Source organism: Homo sapiens, chromosome 9, assembly GCF_000001405.40.
Source record: "Homo sapiens chromosome 9, GRCh38.p14 Primary Assembly".
Taxonomy (NCBI): Eukaryota; Metazoa; Chordata; class Mammalia; order Primates; family Hominidae; genus Homo; species Homo sapiens.
The window spans coordinates 17,483,709-17,505,225 of NC_000009.12; the positions used below are offsets into that span (position 1 = coordinate 17,483,709).

Sequence of the window (21,517 nt, forward strand, 5' to 3'; positions counted from 1 at the left end):
TTGATTTTTTAATGATTTTTCTTCAATCCTTCATTGTTGTCTTGCCCACTCATAATTTACCACATGTAATTGAACTTTGACCCAATTTGTCCTTCTCAACTTCTTCCAAAGCATTTGTAATCTACTATTGATAAAATAGAAACAGTTCTTTCTGCAGTAATCTTTCATTGGTTTATGTAACCATTAAATGAATTATGCAGCTAACCTGTTACAAATAATATATGCACATTGTGGAATAATGAGAACCTGACTCTTAGTGTTAGGTCAACTAGTAGAAGTTGTTGTGCTGATTAAAAATAGCCTGCCTGCTGTAAGCATTCACCAAGCAAGATACCAGTTGGTGTATCTGAAAGAGGGATGGGGGAGCTTTGCTTAATCCAGCAAGTTGGTTAAGTATTCATTGAAGAGAACTTTTATTGCGTGCTGACAATAGGTAAAGAGCAATCCACTATATTCCAGAGTAATTAAAACCAGAGTAATCCTAGTAAAAAAATGATTTGTTAGTATCTTCATATTTTTATGTTATTACTGCTTTGTCTTCATTATGACTTTAATATAAGCTCAATTTCTTTCCAATATGTTACAGGCTTTGGCCAAAGAGTTGCAAAATGATGTCCATGTGGTAAGGCGACAAATAAGAGAGCTTAAAAAAATGAAGAAAAACAGGGACGCCTGTAAAACCTCAACCCATAAAGCCCAGACCTTGGCAGCTTCTATCCTGAACATTTCACGGTCAGATTTAGAGGAAATATTAGACACAGAAGATCAAGTGGTAAGATCATTTAAATATTTATTATTAAAGGGTTTATTATACACTGGACTTAAGTAGATATTTTTATTTGTTTTATACCTCTTAGAATTTCATCTTTAAGAGAGTGTTAATGATGGTAAGATGGTTAAAGTGCCAATGAAAGATACACATCAAGTATTAACTAACTCAAAAAGCCTTTAAAGAAATTTAACTTTATAATATAGAAATAAGCTAGTACTTATAACCTTTCAAATTACTTGTTATTCATTTATTCTTTCCTATCTCCTCCATTTTCTTTAATTTAATCATATTATATATCATGTAAACCAGTATACTTAATTAAGCTAGCTTAAATGGATTTAGTTAAGCTGATCTCCATTGATTTGAAGTTTTTTTCTCTTTGTGATATTTTTTAAAAAGTGCCAAATCTATTGGCTTTCATAGCTAAATTCAAAATTATTATTCACCAGTATACGCTTTGAAAATATATTGTTGAAAAATATTTATTGCTTAAAATTGGTTAAAATACTTCTGTCTGAGTGAATTTATATGCATACAGGCATAGTCTTTAATAGCATTTCAGCACCTCTTGGGAAAGACACTGCATTTTTTACATAGCCACTGCCTCATAACAGCAGAATCTCATACCACGCAGTCTTTTGCGAAACATGTGTAGGATGCTCATTCCTATCCTACTATGGCTCTGAGCTTTAATTCATGAATATTAGATTTTTATCCTTTGGAATGCTAAAAGATGGTGGCACTAGCAGCTTCTCAACAAATATTTGTTCAATGATAGACTTGGGTGTCTGTATGAGATCATCCTCTGGCCCCCTCTTCAGCTTCTGAAAGATCTTCTGGAATAGAGCAAATCTACAATATGTAAAGATTTTTGAACTACCAAGAATCCTCAGATAATAGTTAAAAGGAATCCTACAGGTATTATTTTCATCCAGTGGGTGAATTCCCAGTTTCTGTTTTCAGCAGCTATGCCAAAACGTCTGCGACTTTCTATCAAATTCTAAACTTTGAAGTATAAGAACAATATCACATATAGTACCAAATGTAAGACACATGGGAGTAATATTACTTCTGGCAAGGGTGTTAACTAAGCCTTATTATAGGCATTTAATTAAAATATGTCGATTGATGAGAAACCTAACCAAAATTTAAGGGTAAGGCCTCTACTGTTGCCTAGAAATTTTAAAACACACAGATTTAGCACAGTGTCTCATGTGAGTATGCCTGTGTGCATGTATGTGTTTACATGTACATGATGCTAACACATGTACATATTCTGGAACACAGAGCCACCATGTTTTTTGAGACCAAGTAATCTCTAAAATGATGCACTCTCTGGGCTAACAAATTAGCAAAAAAAGCCCTCTTTGAATGAGCAAATCAGAAAGGTTGTCCTCTTTGAATATGTGAATTAGAAAAGGATCTCTCTTGATAGCCCCAAAGACTAGATGGTGCATGTCTGTGAATAAGTGACACCTCTGCCTCTGGGCAGGTGGAATCTGAAGACAAGAGTACACAGCACTGTAATATGCATGTCACACAATCTTAAATCAAGTCCCTCCTGAAAGAATAAGAGATATAAACACACTGTTCTAAGAGGGATAGGTACATTTTGATATATTTACTAGATTTCATTATAGACCAGAGCTTATTTAGACTGATCCTGTCATCTTCCAGAGGTCCAAGGATTTGCCCAAGCAGAGCCCAGATCACCTGATTTATGTTCTTTACACTATATCGAACTGTAGTAAATTCACATCAGAAACTGTGATAGCCTATCTGAAGTGCCTAGCATGATGCCTGCCATACAGTAAATTTCAACAAATAATAGTTTCTCACGCCCTTCCCTTCTTGGAAAGTCAGTTTTTTTTTTCGTAAACTGAAATTACAATTTCAAGTGAATCATCAACTGTACGTGTGAATACATTTCAATTCCAGAAATATTCTGTCATGATAATTGATGGGTTGAAAATACTTTGTGACCTATAGCACTTTAAGTTGGAGTGTCCCTGGCCTATCAGTAGATTATTGGATAGTTTGAATCAACAAGCATTTAAATATACCGGAGTCATGCCATGTTCTATTCTGTTTGTAATGAACAATTACTCCTTAGTTATCTGCTGACAAGTCAGATTTTGGAATATTAGGTTTTGTATTATCTCATGAGAGTCACCTGTAAATGATTCTTTTATATAACTCCATCTGATTTTTCACTTTAATTGCTTTCACCCCCATATTAGCCCCTACTTTGAGCTCCACTGTGAAGGTAGAAATTAAATATTTCTGAATTACTGTGAAGTATATAAATATAGCTATATCTTCCGTAGTACGTATCGATAAATTAAATTTTAAAGAGCATGGACTTAAATATTTCTACTTTGAGATGACAGACTGTTCTTTGTTGAATCTAATTCTACTGATATTACTCCAGATTTATTCAGTATCTAATAGTATAAACAAGTTCATATAAATTTCGTTAACACCAGTGTTTTTATTTTTTTTCTTCAGGAAATTGAAAAAACAAAAATTGATGCTGAAAATGACAAGGAATGGATGTTGTACATTCAGAAACTTCTTGAAGGACAGGTATTTCATTTTTCTGTTTCATATATTAAGCTTCCAAATAAGAATTCCAAGCCTTACATTTTCACCAGATGTCTAACTTTTTGTAAACACTTCCCCATTGTTTACTTCTGTTAGGTAAAGAAGTATTCCAATAGGTAGAAAGGAAAGTTAACCCTCTATTTGTACTTTGGGACTTAACAAATGAAACAAATACCTTGGGATAGAGCCAACATGGGTCTTAGCAAATGCATTAATTAAATTATTGAGTCAACCTCTGTGCTTGCTAGACTGAAAAGGATCCATTCTCCCAGACCTCTTAGGAAAAGAGATTCTTTATTATGTGTCTTTAAAGTTAGTATTTGATATGGACACCTGAGGAGTTCATGGGTTTCAGTGACCTTTTACTATGGACCTGTTTCCAGTCAATTCATGTTTTCCTCACAGCCAGACAGCTGTTTATTACTGTGTCTTCCCGCATTCTCTACAATATTTTCTACTGAGACCTCGAGCAGCTTGTTAGTGGGAAGTAAATATTGATTTGGCATCCTGTCAATGCAGAAAGAATGAAAAAATTTCCACCAGAGGCCCCTCAAACATTTTCCTATCGACATTTTCTGGGCCGAGTGGAAAGCTGCATAGAGGATGACAAGGCCAAGACGAGTTGAAATCCCTGAGGGGTCTGTTGAGACTGCTGCTGTGACCTGTGTGATACTTTTTCTTCCCTTTCAAGTATTTTTTTAATACACATATAGTCTGCTGGGATGCGCCCCTCTTGTAAGTGATCAAGGGCAGTTTATTGGCAGGTGAGAGCCCTGCTTTTCTAGTCATAGCCAGCTTTTGTTTTGACATCACTGACAGCATGTAATGTATTCTAAAACTTTTTCATTATAGTTCTTTCGGCTTAACCTAATTTTTTATTTTTTAAATGGACTGGAATAAATAAAAGCCAAAACATATTTGTCAAAATACCCCAAAAATTGTCCTGTGATTTTTGGAAAGTCATTGTAAATGTTTCTGTGTAAAGATTAAAAATAGAAACTGATATTAAATGCAATTATTTTACATTTATATTAACAAGTATCAGTTTCCGTGCTTTTAGTAAAGTCGAGAATAAATAAATAGTATATCAACAATTCATGTTAGTATCAGTTTGATATATTTTTGAAACATTGTCTGGAATCACTTTAATAACAATAGGTGATTAAAAATCATTTGCTGAAAGTTGTTTAAGTGTAGATGTGCAGGTGCTAGACAAAGCCTTTTACACTGACTACTTGCTTTTGAGAACAGAGGCCATTTCTTAATCATGTGGTACTCCCAGAACCTAGCTCAGTGGCTGACACATCAAAGAATTCAATAATGATTGTAATGAGGTTTTTCTTTTCAACTTGAAAATGATAAAAATAAACTTTTTAATGAATTTTTAAAATGTTCACTTTGTAAATATGGCCTGTATTTATTTGAATTAGAAATTTTATCATAATTATGACTATAAAAATAATAAATCTGTACGTGTAAAGCTTTGTTAAATTTTACTAAAACTGTACTGACACTGGACCTGAGTTTTTTTGGTTAACACGTGGAGAGGTATATACATACATTCTGCATTAGCTGAATGTATGCTTATTCTGTCCAGTGAGTATAAAAAAATTCTGTTGAAAATGGCATCAGACTGCTTAATACTGCAGCTTGATATAGTGCCTTTTTGTGCCACTGAGCCTGGACTCTGGAATATAATTGCCAGGCAGTATTGATTTAATTGCCCAGGTTTATTTGTGGACTCCTAATTATTGACTGGAGGTAAATTTAATGGAGCAGCCTTTATGAACACTGGGAAACCGCTGCTGTTGCTGTTATACGTAATGAACTGCATCATGTGCCTTTAGATCATTTTTCAAGCTAATTTTATTCCACTGTGACAGTATGATAACATTTAAAAAGTCAAAGACTTTTTATTTTTATTACTGACATAGGTGGTTTTGCTGATGTCTTTGAATTTTGTGAGAGAACAAATAGGTACTTCATTGGTTGCACTTGAATGTCACTTTATAATTACACCCAAGAGAAAAATCTATAAAATAGAAAACACCTTTTTTTTTTAGCCTACTTTTCTTCTCTCTCAATCCAAGCAATTATATTTGTCCTGAATTTTAGAAAAGGTTTTCTTTGCCCACCAGCCTTTTTTTAGAGTCTGAGTTACACTCACAGGATTGTATGGGCAAAAGTGTAAATATGTTCATTCATACATTTTGTTTAGTTTATGGCTTATTGCTCATTGGGTATGAGCTTACATCATCTTCACATTGTGGAATAACTGAAGACATTTTCTAAAAATTACTAATTAGTCCAATGTTGATTTTTTTATTCAAATATTTTGATAAAATTATTGGAAAACCTCTCTTTTATGTCCTCTCTGTGTGTTGGGTGCTGTATGTGATCAAATCCTGAGATTATCAGGGTGAATCTGGCCCTGTGATTTTGTCTTTTGTTTGATTGGGCCACAGAATTGCTTTCTGTTAAAAAAAATATTTTTTTTTCTGCTTTTGTTTGATAGAATGTCATATTGATAAAATATTCACCACAAAATAAAAAGCTGTTCTTCCATGTGGTAATGTGGAACTAATAATAATATGATACCTACTGCTGTTGTTAGCTACAAGTGCATGAGAACTAAAAGGTCTAAAATTTTAACTTATGTATATTTGATACAGAACTCAGATATATGCCATTATTTCAAGTAGTTGTGATGCTATTGGTAATTTTTTATATTTGACATTTATCTGCAGCTTGTCTTTGTCCCCAGAGATTTCTAGTAATAAGAACCACACTGAAAAAATCTTACTAAGTCTACTTTCATCTTTCTATGGCATAGCTGCCTTTAATTTCTTTGAACATTTTTAATCTGTATAAATCTCTCTTTTCACATTGATATATTTTTTAAAACTTGTAATTTATGGCAGAGACAAAGAAGCAAATTGATAATTAAAGCAGGATGGGAGAAACCACCAAAATTACTTTGTCTATAGTTTAGGGAGTGGGAGAAAAGATAGAAATAGGAAAAGTAGGCTGGGACCAAATTATAAAAGCTTTTGAGCAGGGTCGGGATGTAATCAGAGTTGTGCTTTAGAAAGATGCTGAAGGCCAACATTGTAGGATGGTTGGAGAGAGGAGACTGGGAGCAAAAAGGTTCTAGGTAAGGGGCAGTGAGAGTCTGGATGTGGCCTGGCCATGGTATTAGAAAGGCTGGAGACAGATTGTGATCTACATTCTAATGAGTGAATAGATAGCAGTAATGAGATTAGATGAAAGGGGTCTGGGTGGAAACCAAAAGATGGGTGAGTTTAATATACTACATGAGGAGAGAAAGATAATGATATCTTTGGAGGTTTAGGGAACAAAAGAGGTAAGGCAGTTTTAGTTAAACAAAAGAAGTAAAGCCAGGCATAAAATGTTACATACTTTATGATTCCATTCATACAAAATATAAAAATAGGCAAATTTATAGACAGTATGTTTGTGGTTGCCAGAGGCTGGGGGGATATAGAGAGTGACTGCTTACGGATAGAATTTCTCTGAGGATGATGAAAATGCTCTGGAATTACTAGTGATGGCTGCACAATTTTGCGAATGTACTAAAAACCAATGATTTATATACTTTAAAATGGTGAGTTTTGCTATGTGAATTTTATCTCCACTTAAAACAGTTAACTCCTTGATAATGGAAAATATTACAAAAAGAAAAAAAAGAATACATTTAAAAGTAAATTTAATAAATTGCTTATTTCACGTGTGTTGTGCCCCCCACCAATAGCAGAGATTTCTTTAAATGCAATTGAACTTGAATTCTGTCTAGTGGCTGTAAATATGAGTAAATGATATAAATATTTTTATTTCAAACTCAATAGTTTCTTTTCAGTTGGCACATAAGGAGATGTACTACCTTTATATTCTAATTGGTCTTACCTGTTCACATATCCAAACAAGGAGTCAGTTTTTTAAACTTTGCCCACTAAAAGACAGTGTTTATCTGTTCTGCCCATTCTGATCCCCCAAATTAAAATTATAATAAAGGTCATTTTTAGGCCTTTATGATACCCAAAACAGTCCTTTGCACTTGTGACTTTATAAAGGCAATGAAAATAATTAGTGGAAATTAAGCTGAGCCTGTGCTCGGGAATCATTAAAAAATATATATATGAGTACCTTCTACATGCCAGGTATTATTTCAGGTTTGGAGAATATGGCAGTGAATAAAAGAGATAAAAATTCACTACTGTAATAGAATTTACACTTCTGGGGACGGAGGACAATAAATAGTTAAAATGTATAAACTATGAAATTTACTAGGTAGTTAACTTGAGTAGAATTATGGGTGGGTAGATACATTAAAATATGTATATATGTATAAAACAAATATTACATAGTTATAACCAGAGTGTGGGTCTTTACTAAGATTTCTATAAATACCCTTAGACAGGAATGGCTAGAAAATGTGTTCTTGATTTATGGTGTGTTGCTTTATTCTTTGTTATTTGCTAATCCTTTTTTAGGTTTCATTTTGTCCATTTTAGTCCACTTTGTATAGATCATTTTCTTCTATTGGAACTATATAAAAAATTCTGTCTGTTTGCCTTCAGTTTTTGAGAATTTAAAGTAAAGACTTTGATCAGTGGCTTTTCTTTACCTTTAAATATCTCTGTTCCTATTAGTTGCTTCAGATCTTGCAAATGCTGAAATTTAAAATGGCTAACTTTCCCCAGTGTCCTCTCTGCAAAATATGCTTACCTTCTGTAGAATGCCTTGCAGTGTGGCAGTGGGAAGGGTTTTATAAATCTCCCTGGCTTTTGTAAATAGAATATACTACTAGCCTGAAGGTTAACTGAAAGTTTCTCCTTGCATCTCTGAAGCCATTTACTCTGTGGTTATTTCCTGTGTTGCACTTATAACAAATGCATTCAGAAACTGACATACTCACTCACTCACTCTGTCTCATCCATGTAAGCCTACACACTCAGTAACCCATACAGAATTAATCCTCACATTTAGATGAAGTAGCAAGAGTTTAAAATTCTCTACTCACAGCCTTGCTGTTTTTTTTCAATTTAACAAAGTAAGCCTACTTTCGTATCACTAGAATGTGATTACAGTTAAAAGGATCCTTTTAATAAAATAATTAAATTTATTTGAATCTACAATATCAGTTTTTTCTTGTAATTCCTTTTTCTTTCTTTCTTTCTTTCTTATTTTATTGTTTTCTTCGTGTAGTTTTACCTCCTCTAATATATATTCTTGTGCTATAAGAAAACAAAGAAGTTTGTAACCAGTATTCTAAAATTAAGTCTCAACCAAATATAAAGAGATTTCTGCCTGGAAGTTCTTTATTAACAGCTAATTCAATTGCTGTATCTATTTGAAGTTAGCAGTACTATTTATTCAACAAACTTTTATCGAGTGCTGATAGTATGTAAAAGTGCTAGTCAGCATGGGAAACAAATGGGACAATTCATGTCTTTAAAAAGCTTAAACTCTAAAGTAGGAAATTAATAAGTGTTAGGAGGCAGAGAAAATTGTACACTTGTATGTTGCTAATGATAATGTAAAAGGGTGCTGTTATTGTGGAAAACGCTATGGCAGTTCCTCCACACATTAAGCATAGAGTTACCATATTATCCAGTAATTCTGCCTTGGGGTATATCTCCAAAAGAATTGGAAGCAGGAACTCAAACAGATATTTGTACACCAATGCTCACAACAGCGTTGTTGACAATAGCCAAATGATGGAAATGATCCAAATGCCCACCGATGAATGAATGGATAAACAAAATGTGGTTTATGCATACAGTTTATTATTCAGCCTTAAAAAGGCATGAAGTACTGAAACATGCTACAATATGGATGAACCTTCAAGACATTATGCTAAGTGAAATAAGTCAAACACAAAAGGACAAATACCCTGATTCCACTTATTTGAGATTAGTTAAGTTCATAGAGACAGAAAGTAGAATGGTGGTTGTCAAGGGCTGGTGGAACGAGGGGAATGGGGAGTTACTGTTTAATATACGTGGAATTTCAGTTTGGAAAGATGAAAAATCCTAGAGATAGAGGTGGTGATGGTTACACAACAACATGAATGTAATTAATGCCACTGAGTAAGTGACTTAAAAATGATTCAAATGATAAAATGTTTATCATTTCTATAACATAAAACAATTTTTAAAAAATCTAAAGTAGGATTTATAGTCAATATATGTGGGGACACAGGTAATATTCATTTCCATTATGATTTCCAAAATATTGGGAGGCTCTTATTAATATAAGAGCCAAAATAGTATAGTCAAATATAGTATGGAACAGTTTTGCCTTCTAGATAGACAAGTTCCTTGAGAGCACAGTGAGTAATCTTTTACCTCCTATACCGTGCTAAGGGAAAACAAAAAGTCAGTAAATTGTGCCCTAAAAATATGGATTACCCAGAGAAGCATTAAAATGACTCCTATTCTTGCACCTTGAAAAGCCCATCCTATGTCACCTCATTCTGTTTTTTTAACTTTCGAGGGATATTAGCAAGAACATTTTTCATCTAGATTTAGAGCTAGATTTTTCCTTGGCTGCAGAAAATAGAACAAGATACGTGAAGCACAATGGGTAATAAAATCAAAACTCCATACTTAAAATGTTTGCATTGTAAAATATCTAAGCCAACCACTCTTCCAGAGCATGAGCTCTGCCTTGTGGAATAATAGGAAACTCAGTAACTGCTGAAGAAATCCATGTTCAGCACGTGAGTGCCTGAGATTCATTCGGTTTCTCCTTATATTGACCAGAACTCTCTCCACACAGTAAACTTACAATGGCTTATAGTCAGAAGACCTGGGGTTGCGTTCTGTCTCACGTTAGCATGAGAAGAAGTTAGCTCAAGGCAAGTAACTAAAGCCTCTTTAATTCAATATCTTCAACTATAAGATAGAAAGAATACCACCTGACAGATTTGGAATGATAAAATAATGCATGCCAAAATGCATTGTCCCTTGTAAAAGTGTTTTGTCACCCTTAAAAAGGATAACCGTTTGAGGCCTGGGGAAAATACATGGAAAATAACTCAAACTTAGTATGCTAGTGATTTCTCATGTTTAATTATTTTTAATTTATTTTAAAAGCATATCTGTTTGCTAGATTTGCTACTAGTCTCCCCAGAAGATGCCTAACCCATTGCCTACTATAGAGTAAATACAGTCATCACTGCATGAGGACATTTTGGCCAATGACAGACCACACTATACAATGGTGTCCCCATAAGATGATAATGAAGCTGAAAATTTTTTTTTAATTAACTTTTATTTTAGGTTTAGGACTACATGTGCAGGTTGTTATATAGGTAAACTCATGTCGTGGGGGTTTGTTGTATAGATTATTTCATCAACCAGGTACTAAGCCTAGTAGCCAATAGTTATTTTTTTCTGATCCTGTCCCTCCTCCCACCCTCTACCGTCAAATAGGCCCCAGGGTCTGCTGTTCCCCTTCTCTGTGTCCATATGTTCTCATCATTTAGCTCCCACTTATAAGTGAGAATAGGCAATATTTGGTTTTCTGTTCCTGCATTAGTTTGCTAAGGGTATAATGGAGCTGAAAAATTCTTATCCACAAGTGACACTGTAACCATCCTAAGGTTGTAGCACAACACATTACTCTCGTTTGTGGTAATGCTGGTGTAAACAAACCTGCTGTGCTGCCACCCATAGAAAAGTATAGCGTATACAATTATGTACTGCACATAATACTCAATAATGATAATAAATGTCTGTTACTAGTTTATGTATTTACTATACCATACTTTTTTTTTTTTTTTTTTTTTTGGTCACAGAGTCTTGCTCTGTCTCCCAGGCTGAAGTGCAATGGCGCAATCGTGGCTCACCAAAACCTCCGCCTGCCAGACTCGAGCAGTTCTGCCTCAGCCTCCTGAGTAGCTGGGACTACAGGTGCGTGCCACCATGCCCAGCTAATTTTTTTTATCTTTTGCAGAGATTGGGTTTTGCCATGTTGCCCAGGCTGGTCTCCAACTCCTGAGCTCAGGTGATCTGCCTGCCTCAGCCTCTCAAAGTGCTGGGATTACAGATGTGAGCCGCTGTGCCCAGTCTACTATGCTACGCATTTTATCATTATTTTAGAGTGTACTCTTATACTTATTAAAAAAAAAAACTTAACTGTAAAACAGCCTAAGGCAGGTCCTTCAGGAGGTATTCCAGAAGAAGGCATTGTTAACATAGGAGGTGACAGCTCCGTTTGTGTTATTGTCCCTGAAGACCTTCCAGTGGGACAAGATGTGGAGGTGGAAGACAGGGATAGTGATGACCCTGACCCTATGTAGGCCCAGGGTAATGTGTGTGTTTGTGTCTTATTCTTTAATTAAAACGTTTAAAAATAAAAAAATACAAAATTATTTATATCCTTACAGAATAAGGATATAAAAATGTTTTTATACAGCTGTACAGTATGTTTATGTTTTAAGCTAAGTGTTCTTACATGAGTCAAAAATTAAAGCTTACAAAGTAAAGTTACAGTAAGCTAAAGTTAATTTATTATTGAAGAAAGAAAAAGGTTTTTTAATACATTTAATGAAGCTTAAGTATACAGTGTTTATAAAATCTACAGTAGTGTACAGTAATGTCCTAAGTCTTCACATTTACTCACCGCTCACTCACTGACTCGCCCAGAGCAACTTCCAGTCCCACAGGCTCCATTCATGGTAAGTGTCCTATTCACGGGTACCATTTTATAAAGTCTTCTATACCATATTTTTACTACGCCTTTCCTATGTTTAGGTATACTAATACTTATGATTGTATTACATTTGCCTACAATATGTAGTACAGTAACATGCAGTAACAGGTTTCTAGCCTAGGAGCAATAGGCCATAGCATATTGCCTAGGTGTGTAACAGGCTATATCATCTAGGTTTGGACAACGCCAAAATTGCCTAACAATGTATTTCTCAAAATGCATCCCTATTGCTAAGTGATGCATAACTGTATTTGTAGAGTGCTTTCATTGAGGAGGTATAATTCACTATCCACATTCATCCAGATTCTGGAGCAACATATTTAAATCAACACTGAGTGACACAGTGATGAACAAGAGACTGAATAATTCAGTTCTCTTTTGGATCCTTCCCCATCCCTTTATTTTTCCTACCTGTACTATTAAGTGTTCTCTTAGTCATATCAGGCTGTTATCACAGAATACCATAGACTGGGAAACATTTATTTTTCACATTCCTGGGGTCTGAGAAGTCCAAGATCAGGCATTAGCCATAGGAGCCTTCTTCCTGTTTTGTAGATCTTGGTCTTCTCATTGTATTCTCACATAGCAGAGTGAGCAAGGGAGCGAGTAAGCTCTCCTATCTCTTTTTATAAGGCTACTAATCCCATTCAGGATGCTTCCATCCTCATGACCTAATTACCTCCCGAAGCCCTTATCTCTTAATACCATCACATTGCAGTTTAGGATTTCAACATACAAATTTTGGGGGAACACAAGCATTTAGTTAATAACAAGGGTCTACCTGCTAAATACTTTTTATATCAGTTAAGCTTTCTTTTCCTGAACTCGGAGTTTGTATCCATGTGATAAACATTGGTATTCACACCTAGTCCTATTGAGCCCCCAAATTCTTTCTTTAATGTCTACATTAAAAGGGACTCCTTGTTAACAGTGGACTGTAGACTCTTAAAGCATTATCTCTAGCGTGTATATCTCACCTAGTCATGAAGGAGCATACAAGGAATGGACATATCCCCTTCAAGTATATATACTACACAGTTCCTGGCATTTGAGAACGAAGTCAGTCATATTAGGATAGTCTGAATACCAGTATTAAGATGTATTTGTCATTATGTGTGCTGGCTTTGTGAGAAGACAACTGGGACTTCAAAAATGTCTTGCAGGGGGTTGGAGAAGGTGGGGTAAAGTAATGTGTCAGGCTTTGTGTAAGACCAATGTCCAAACAATTCATAGGGGTCCAAACTGATGTCCAAGGGAGCTCAGGGAATTCAATTCCTTTTTGTGCTGGTATCATTGCCCAAAGCATTATCTTAAAGGTGAAGGCACAGCAGTAGTCTCTGATCTATGAGAATATTGGTCATCAGTTAGGGAAAAGTGACTTGATAGGAGTGGAAAATGAGGGAGGGGAAGAAACTCCCAGCTGCTGAGGAGCCAGTGACAAGGGTTTAGCTCTATCTAGGCAAGTTTTGGGGACGAGAATTATAGTGTCACACAGGAACCAGACAAGAAGCCTAATCACAGCCTAGAGATGCTTCTGGATTTGAAGGAAAGTCTATGGCTAACTTAAATTTCTCTTCTATCTTACATAACTTACCATAGCCCTAAAGAACTTGCTGGCAGTTCATTTTACTAAATCCTGAAGTAAGTTACCAAGCATCTCCCCAACCCCAAGGACTTTATAAATAGAATAGATCACCCATTTGCTTTAAGTGTTACGGAAGCACTCCTTGAAGCTTTTTTCTTCATTCTGTCTTACAACTTCTAGAGTAATTCAAAATTAAAGAGAAAAAAGCTATAGCCTTCAACAGAGTTTGAAAGCAGCAGGCACAGCCTTCTCTGTCCATTTTTAGCAGAACTCCAAGAATTCTTTTTTTCTATTATGATATGCAGCAGAAATAGAAACAACCATTTAGGAGATGTGACTCAAAATTCAGTGCCAAATTTAAATTATAAATACATTGTTCTTTCTGATAGCATTCTTGATTATTTTAACAAGTTCAGTCTTTAACTACAAGATAACAGAGTGGATGCTAACGACGCAGATTTGTGTGTGTGCTTGTATGTATATATATGTATGTAAATAAATGCATATACCAAATGTTGCACCTTTAATTTTATAATAAACTACATTATCGTATCTTACTAAGGTCTCATTAAGTCATATTTTAAGAGCAGATATAATTCATAAAATTTTATATTCTTCACTTTCAATATAACTCTAGATAAAAGTCACATTTTATCTTACAAGAAGTATCTTTTTGGTCATAGTCTTCAAACAGAAAACAAGAATTAAAATGGCCAAATTGTTAATTTTGTCCTTTATACTTAAAAGTTATCCTTATTTCCATTTTTTCTTTCAATGCAAAAGAATTTCAATTTTATATTGAGTATATTCCCATTAATGCTGATGTAATAAGTTATTTTTATGTTTTGCAATCATTTAAGCTCTGCTATTTTTCTAAGATAGTTCTCAAGCATCTGCAGTCATCATTTATATCATTTATATGTCACCTCTAAAGGAAGCCACAATTTGTAAGTGTGAGTAATAAATTTAAGATTGTGATAGTTGCATACCAGTTCCTAAAGGTAAACTTCTGTAGGTATTTATATGTCAGAGAAGCTAAAAATCTGTGTGAAATCAGGGGAGATCCCTCCAGTAATGGAAATCACTCTTTGCAGCAGGAACAGCCAGAATGACTAGGAAGATCTGCCTTAAGACTACCTATAGACCGAGGCAAACTTTGTCAGATATCCCCGTTAAATTTCTATGCCAAGAAATTTCACTCAGTATGAAATCTTCACCTGTCCATTTTTCTCTTTATGCTAAAGAGTTCAAGCATGTCTAACTCTGTGCTGATATGCCCAGGAATATCATTTCTCCTTCTTTATCCAAGAGAGAAAAAGAAATCATGCAGGCTCTCTGGACTTTGTAATCCCTGGCAAATACCATCTGAGATGAAACCCACAGCAGCATAATGTTGGTTTGTTGTTTCAGATGTATTTGATAGGGTGCAAGATCTTTGCTGTGGTCAGTCAGATTGCCACTTCTATCCAACTCTAAAATCCTATTAGTAAAAGGGCAGCTATGCCTGTCTGTATGTCTCCCTCAGAGATTTCTAAGGGAGACGTAGCCCCTTCCAGAATGCATATAAAGATAATATAATTAACTATAAACTCCTTGTATGAAATAAATATGCATTTAATCTGGACTTCAAAGTAGAAGGTTTGGCTCTCTTGTTCTTAGTGTTTTTAAAACATTTTGCACTCAAAAAAATATGGCAAACAAATAAGCAGACCATGTGAATTTTTAAAGTGCTTTCCAAGGCATGTTGTATTTTAAGTACAGTGTCAGTCCTAACTCTAACCAACCTAGAGCTACATGCTGAGAATTGATGTTCATGTGGTACTATAAGATTTTGAAGAGCTTTCTTGAATCACTGAAGATTAAATTATGTTCCATCTGACTTTCAGGTTAACTATAATTTATGATGTTTAAGAGTTAGCGTGTTATAAGTAATAACTCTCAATTAACCAAAATAGCCAGTTAACTTGAAAATTCCACTCTTAGCCATTTTTATAAACAAAATCTTTTGGTAATACATTCTAGACTAAGCAGAATTGTTTTGTGTACAATCTATGAAAAATGTTTGCTAAATAAATGAATAGTATAAACTTGGTAAGAGAGGTTATTTTTAAAACCAAAGTTGTTAGTGCATTCATTATTTGAATACATATTGAATCTGTTCCATAAACCAAGAACTATTTGTAAAGCAGGAAGGCACAGCTACTTAAATTTTTTTAAATTGACAGTTACTTTAAATTGTTGCATTTATTTGAAAACATAAGTAGATTTTACAAAATATTGTTTTGTAGTTCTGACTTTTTCTTAGTCTTCCTCTAAATTTGTTTCAATTATTAACTATTTTGTCATATTTTCTGTTATAAAATTACCTTAATTATGACTGAGCCTTATGTATTTAAAAAATAATTTTTGGAAGACCTCTTTGAAAGCTGAATTTACAGTTAGCAATAAACCATAAGGTATAAACAGCAAGTAGAGTGAGCACTGGGTTTAGAGGAAAATATTGTCAATTGGTTCATAGAAAGGGAAAATAGAAAAATTGAATTAAAATAAAAATTTTAAATCTCACACTAGTAAGATATATGAAATTTTGTCTAAAGTTATGTAATGACAAATAATATGATTCTTCTGAACGATTATAGACAAATAGGTTCCTGCAAGGGCAGTAGATGTACACATACTCTGCATTTTGATTTAAGGATTGACTCCTTTTTGAAATCCAAAATGTGTTATCCTCTATAAAAAGCTTAAAGGAAGCTTATAATCTAATAAAACAGGGTTGGCATACAGTTGTGTTTAACTCTGAGGCTTTGAGTTTTATTGGGAGCCAGGGCAAGAGAATAAAGGGAGTTGGTAATAAATTCGTAAATGGACTTCCCATTCCACATTGGAGGCTTTCTGGAAGAGTTATTTGAGCTTGACTTTTTAAAGGTAATGTCCATGTTGAAAATTGTTCAGATTACAAGATAATAAGAGTAGATTTAGATTTAAATTTGAAAATGAAATTTGCAAACAATATGATTAATGCCAACACATTGTGGACTGGTGAAAGGTCTGTGACATTATTACACAGGAAATGATACAACCAGCATGTTCCCCAAGCTGTGTTTCATGGGCCACTATTTCCGCCTGATAAATAGACCATGAGAACAGGATGGACAAGTGAATTTAGAAATAGGATATTATATTGCCCTCTTGGAGAGATCAGTGCCTGTTAGCCTTTTAAAGACTCTTAAGAGGTAGAAGTTTGGTTTGTTTCCCAAATGTATTTGATTAGAGAACAATTTTAGAAAATGAAACACTTCTGCCTTGTTTCCACCAGTAAGGGACGGGAAATTACTCCCTTCTTGTATTTTCCTTTTAGATAGGAATGCGTGTAGTACTGCGTGACATCATTTAAATGAAAGTTGCCCTGTAGTCTTGTCATTTTTTTGTGCATTTCTTTCACACCTAAAATTAATGCTCTCAAGGTTTAAATTTTTATTTGTAAAACTGGCATCTTTGTCCAAGGTAACTCTTTTTTACATCCAAGAAAAGCAATTTGTCAAAATTAAAGCGTACTGCTTTTATCATTATCCTCCATAAGAGAACTGATCATATTCTTTTTGCTTATCTCTAAGATATGCTTTTCCCACTTCTTCACATTCCTGAAATTGGGATGCATGTGCAATATGAGTGTGTTTGATGTGGTAGGTTTTTCCCCCTAGAAAAGCTATTTTAAAGTCAATGTATATGTCTTCTATTCATCTGTATCTTAAAACTGAAGAAATGTGCTCTTTTGGTATCTTATACTTTCTTTAGTGGTAAGTTTCAAGTAAGACAAATATGTGAAGCTCCTGGGTTTCTAGGGAACAGACACAGACTCAGGCTACCTTAAGGAGAAGGCAGATTACTGTAAACATAAGAAGGGACTTAAACTAGAATGCTCTTTGGGTCTGAGGCAGTTTTCTGGATCAGATGTGGTCTCTATTTCTCTTTCATGGCTAATGTGGTCTATTTGTTTTTGCCTGCCTGCTCTTTAGTTCTACTACCACAGCTAGTCTTTTCTCTTTTCTCCAGTCCAAATTTAGCAAAGAGCCATTCTGATTGGTTTAATTATAGACACCTTAGCGGAGCATAGCTGAGGACCCAGACAAAGGCCGTTAGGCCATCTTGGGTCAGATGCCGACAGTGATGCTGTCAGTCGTCCATCCTAGCACAAAAATGGGCCTGATGCTACTGCCCTGCAGGGAAGGGGGCTGGGCATGCTAAGCATTCCCATTAATATATTCAGAGAAACAGAAGTAGTCTATCCCTGGTTGATCTAAAGGACAAGTCCAAGAAATGACTTAACAAACTTCTTAATTATGACAGACCTCTTATGTGAGGCTATGTAGCTGAGAATAAGGATAAGAGAAATTTCTAGGATTCAGAAGTAACTGGGGCTGCATTTCAGATTGTCTTTTACTTACCACCTATAACTGTATAACTGTATTGGATGAGTTGGAGTTCTACAGGCAACTCAGTGAAGCAGAGGGAACAATAAAACTTGACCAGAAAAGTTATATAAATTATGAAATTTAAAAATGTAGTCTACATTTCATAAACTCAGCAGTTTGCAACATGTGTATTACACTTTGATATGCCAAACAACTTTTCTATAACAACTTAATCAATGGGTATACTTTTGCGATTTTTTCCTCTGAAGTTTTCACTCTACAATTCTTGAGATTTTCGGCTCTAACGCAGACATGTGGATTGATGGTTCTCTCTCATTCTTTTATGAGTGATGAACACACAGTACTACTTCTGTGGGCCCGTGTGCCCTAGAGATGACTGTAACCTACTATTGATCAGCTGATTGAAGATAAATGGCTTAGCTGCTTGTATTGCAGATTACATCATTAACATGGTCAGTAAACCATGAATTGTTCAATAAGGCGTTTATCTTTTTTCATTTTACTTTTGCTCTTTTGTCATTTTTATTAGAAAAGACAAAATTACCCACACTAACCAGCAAGATCAGTAGAAAAGAGATCCAGTAGGGTACCATTATGGCTGCAAAGTTGCAGACATCTAACTTCTAATGGTTTAATAATATTTAGTATGTTTTTGAACTGAAGAAAATATAGAGTTTTAATAATCTTTTTTGTGTTTCTTTTACAGCTTCCTTTTGCCTCATATTTACTAGAAGCAGTACTGGAAAAAATAAATGAAAAAAAGAAACTAGTTGAAGGATATTTCACAATTATGAAAGATATTAGATGATATTAAAATGGAGAGCTTTATTGCAAATGTGAAAACTTTTTATGTGGTGTGATTGGAATACATGCATTGCAATCCTGACACGGTATCTGCTCCAACTATCAATAGTCAGGTTCAATACCAAAATAAGAAGTCTCTGAAAATAATTAATTGCTGAACAAGTGAAACTAATTAAGTACATAGCCATTTAAAAGGAAATAGTGTAGCATCTGATGGTCGAATACAAATATTGCCACAAATCAGTGCAAACTTAAAAATGATTTTCCTTCTAGTGCATTAAAAGAAACTGAGCAGGCTTGGTACACACAAATTGGCCTGAGCATAAGAAGAAAAAGTATCAACTAAGGATTTAATGTTTTACGTTTCATGAAGAAACTAGACTTTTTACATAAAACTGCTATAGATGGCCATAAGTGGTCCAGGGAGCAACAGATTTGTAGTATGAGCAAATATAAAATGAAGCATCATAACTTGAGCATTTATTGAAATAAATTGTGTGGTCCAATTGAATCTGTTCTCATTGATGTGCTGGTTTATGTAGGAGATACTGTGTATTTCTACAACTCTTTGGCAAAAACAAAAACATTTTCTTCTTCTCTCTCTTAACTTCACAATACTATACGTTGTGTAGTCATATAAATTTGCAGGGAACCACAAACCCAATGTATAAAATTAGGCTCTATTTAACAGAACTACTACTGTGGTCAGCTAATTTAAGTTACATTCTTAACCATGATGTCATCCTTATTTAGATTCCTGGACATTCCCACCTCATTTCACCTCTTCACCGTGTTCCTGCCATACCCTTTTTGGTTCCTCTAATTCACCATACTGGTGCCTGCCTCCCACATTTGCCCTTGGTCTTCTCTCTTTCTAGAATACTCTGCACTCAACTTTCCTCATGGCTGGCTCCTTGTCATCATTCAGCTCCACCTTCCCCGGTCCCTCAGAGACACATTCTCTGACCAGCTTACTATTTTATTTCCTCATAGCACAAAATTATCTATCTGTTCATGTATTTGTTTTCTTGTTTATTTTCTTCTTTTCCCTCTTTAGTATGTAGGTCCCATGAGATTAAGGCAAGGGTTGGCAGATTATAGCCTGCAGGGCGAATCTGGCCTGCCACCTGTTTTGTATGGCCCACAAGCTAAGAATGGTTTTTGCCTTATTAAATGGTTTTTAAAAAATCAAAAGGAGAATAATATTTTGTAGCATGTGAAAATTATATAAAATTCAAATTTTGGTGTCTGTTAATAAAGTTTTATTGGAACACAGTGGTGCTCATTCATTTCTTTACTGTTTATGGCTGCTTTCACACTACATGAGTGTAGATGAATAGTAGTTAATGGAAGAGACTGTGCTTCTCTCCTGCTTGGAATGCTACAGATAACAATGACACAGTTACAACTTGACAGAATTTTAGGTGACACAAATACTGCCTTACTGCAATTAAAAAAAAAATACCAGTACACACTTTTCATGTCAAAACAGGAAAAGAAGAAAGAAATGACCATCAAATGTCACACACTTAAGGCACAATGAAGTGTGGATTTTGTTATTGAATTGGATGGCGAAGCATTGTGTTTATTATGTGATGACACTGTATACCCAAAGAATGCAATTAAAACATTACCATACTAAGCATTCATCACAATATTCCCAACTCACAGGAAAGCACGAGTAATAAAAAATTACAAAACTTAAAATGTAATACCTCATTACGACAGAATTTTATTACAAAGATAAAAATGAGACTGCTAGTATGACCTTGATACCAAGACTAAACAAAGACAGTGTACAAAAAAAGAAAATATGGTAGACTGAGAAATGGCCCCTGAAGATGTTCACTCCTTAGTCCCCGAAACCTGCGAATGTGTTACTTTATATGTCAAAAGGAAATTTGCAAATATGATTAAGTCAAGGATCTTGAATGGGAAGATTATCTTGGATTACCGATGTGAGCCTGATGAAACCACAAGTGCTCTTATGAGAGGGAGGTAGGAAGAGTCAGAGAGAGAGAATAATGTTACCAGAGAGGTAGAAAGAGAAATTTGAAGATGCCACAGTACTGGCTTAAAATATGGAGGAAACGGCCATGAGCCAAAGGATGTGGATGGCCCTTGGAGACCAGAAAAGGCAAGGAAACAGATTCTTCCTGGAGCCTTAGGAAAAGCTCAGTCCTGTCAGCACCTTGACTTTACCCCAGTGAAACTGATTTTGGACATCTAGAACTGTAAGATAATACATTTTATCTAATTTAAGCCACTAAGTTTGTGGTACTTTGTGACTGCAACAATAGAAAACAAATAGAATTTGCCAGAAATCTGTTTAGAAGTTTTACATCTATGTTCATGAGGGATATTGGTCAAAAGATACACAATCAAAGCTGGTTCAATCAGTGTAAACCACCATATTAAGAGGCTAAAAATACCCCACAATCATAAAATTTGATATAGAAAAAGCATGTGACAAAAATTGGCACTCATTTATTTTAAAAAAAACTCAGAAAACTATAAATAGGAACTTCTCAATTTGATAAGACCATCTTTTAAAAGCCTACAGCTAACATTGTATGT

The 21,517-nt window shown here is 34.7% G+C and overlaps 1 protein-coding gene across 14 annotated transcripts in view; it reads left to right on the forward strand.

Annotated features, from left to right (window-relative positions):
- CNTLN (centlein) overlaps window positions 1-21,517 on the forward strand; it is a 393,595-nt gene that overhangs the window by 348,669 nt on the left and 23,409 nt on the right. For 11 of the 14 annotated variants that reach the window (NM_017738.4, NM_001365029.1, XM_017014841.2 and 8 more), the window contains 3 exons: window positions 587-772; window positions 3,281-3,358; window positions 18,843-20,215. In NM_017738.4, the coding sequence (NP_060208.2) occupies window positions 587-772; window positions 3,281-3,358; window positions 18,843-18,944 (366 nt within the window). In that variant the 3' untranslated portion in view covers window positions 18,945-20,215. Of the gene's footprint in view, window positions 1-586; window positions 773-3,280; window positions 3,359-11,198; window positions 11,314-18,842; window positions 20,216-21,517 lie in introns of those variants that run through there. The other 3 variants (XR_007061321.1, XR_007061322.1, XM_017014839.2) reach the window with 2 other exon arrangements.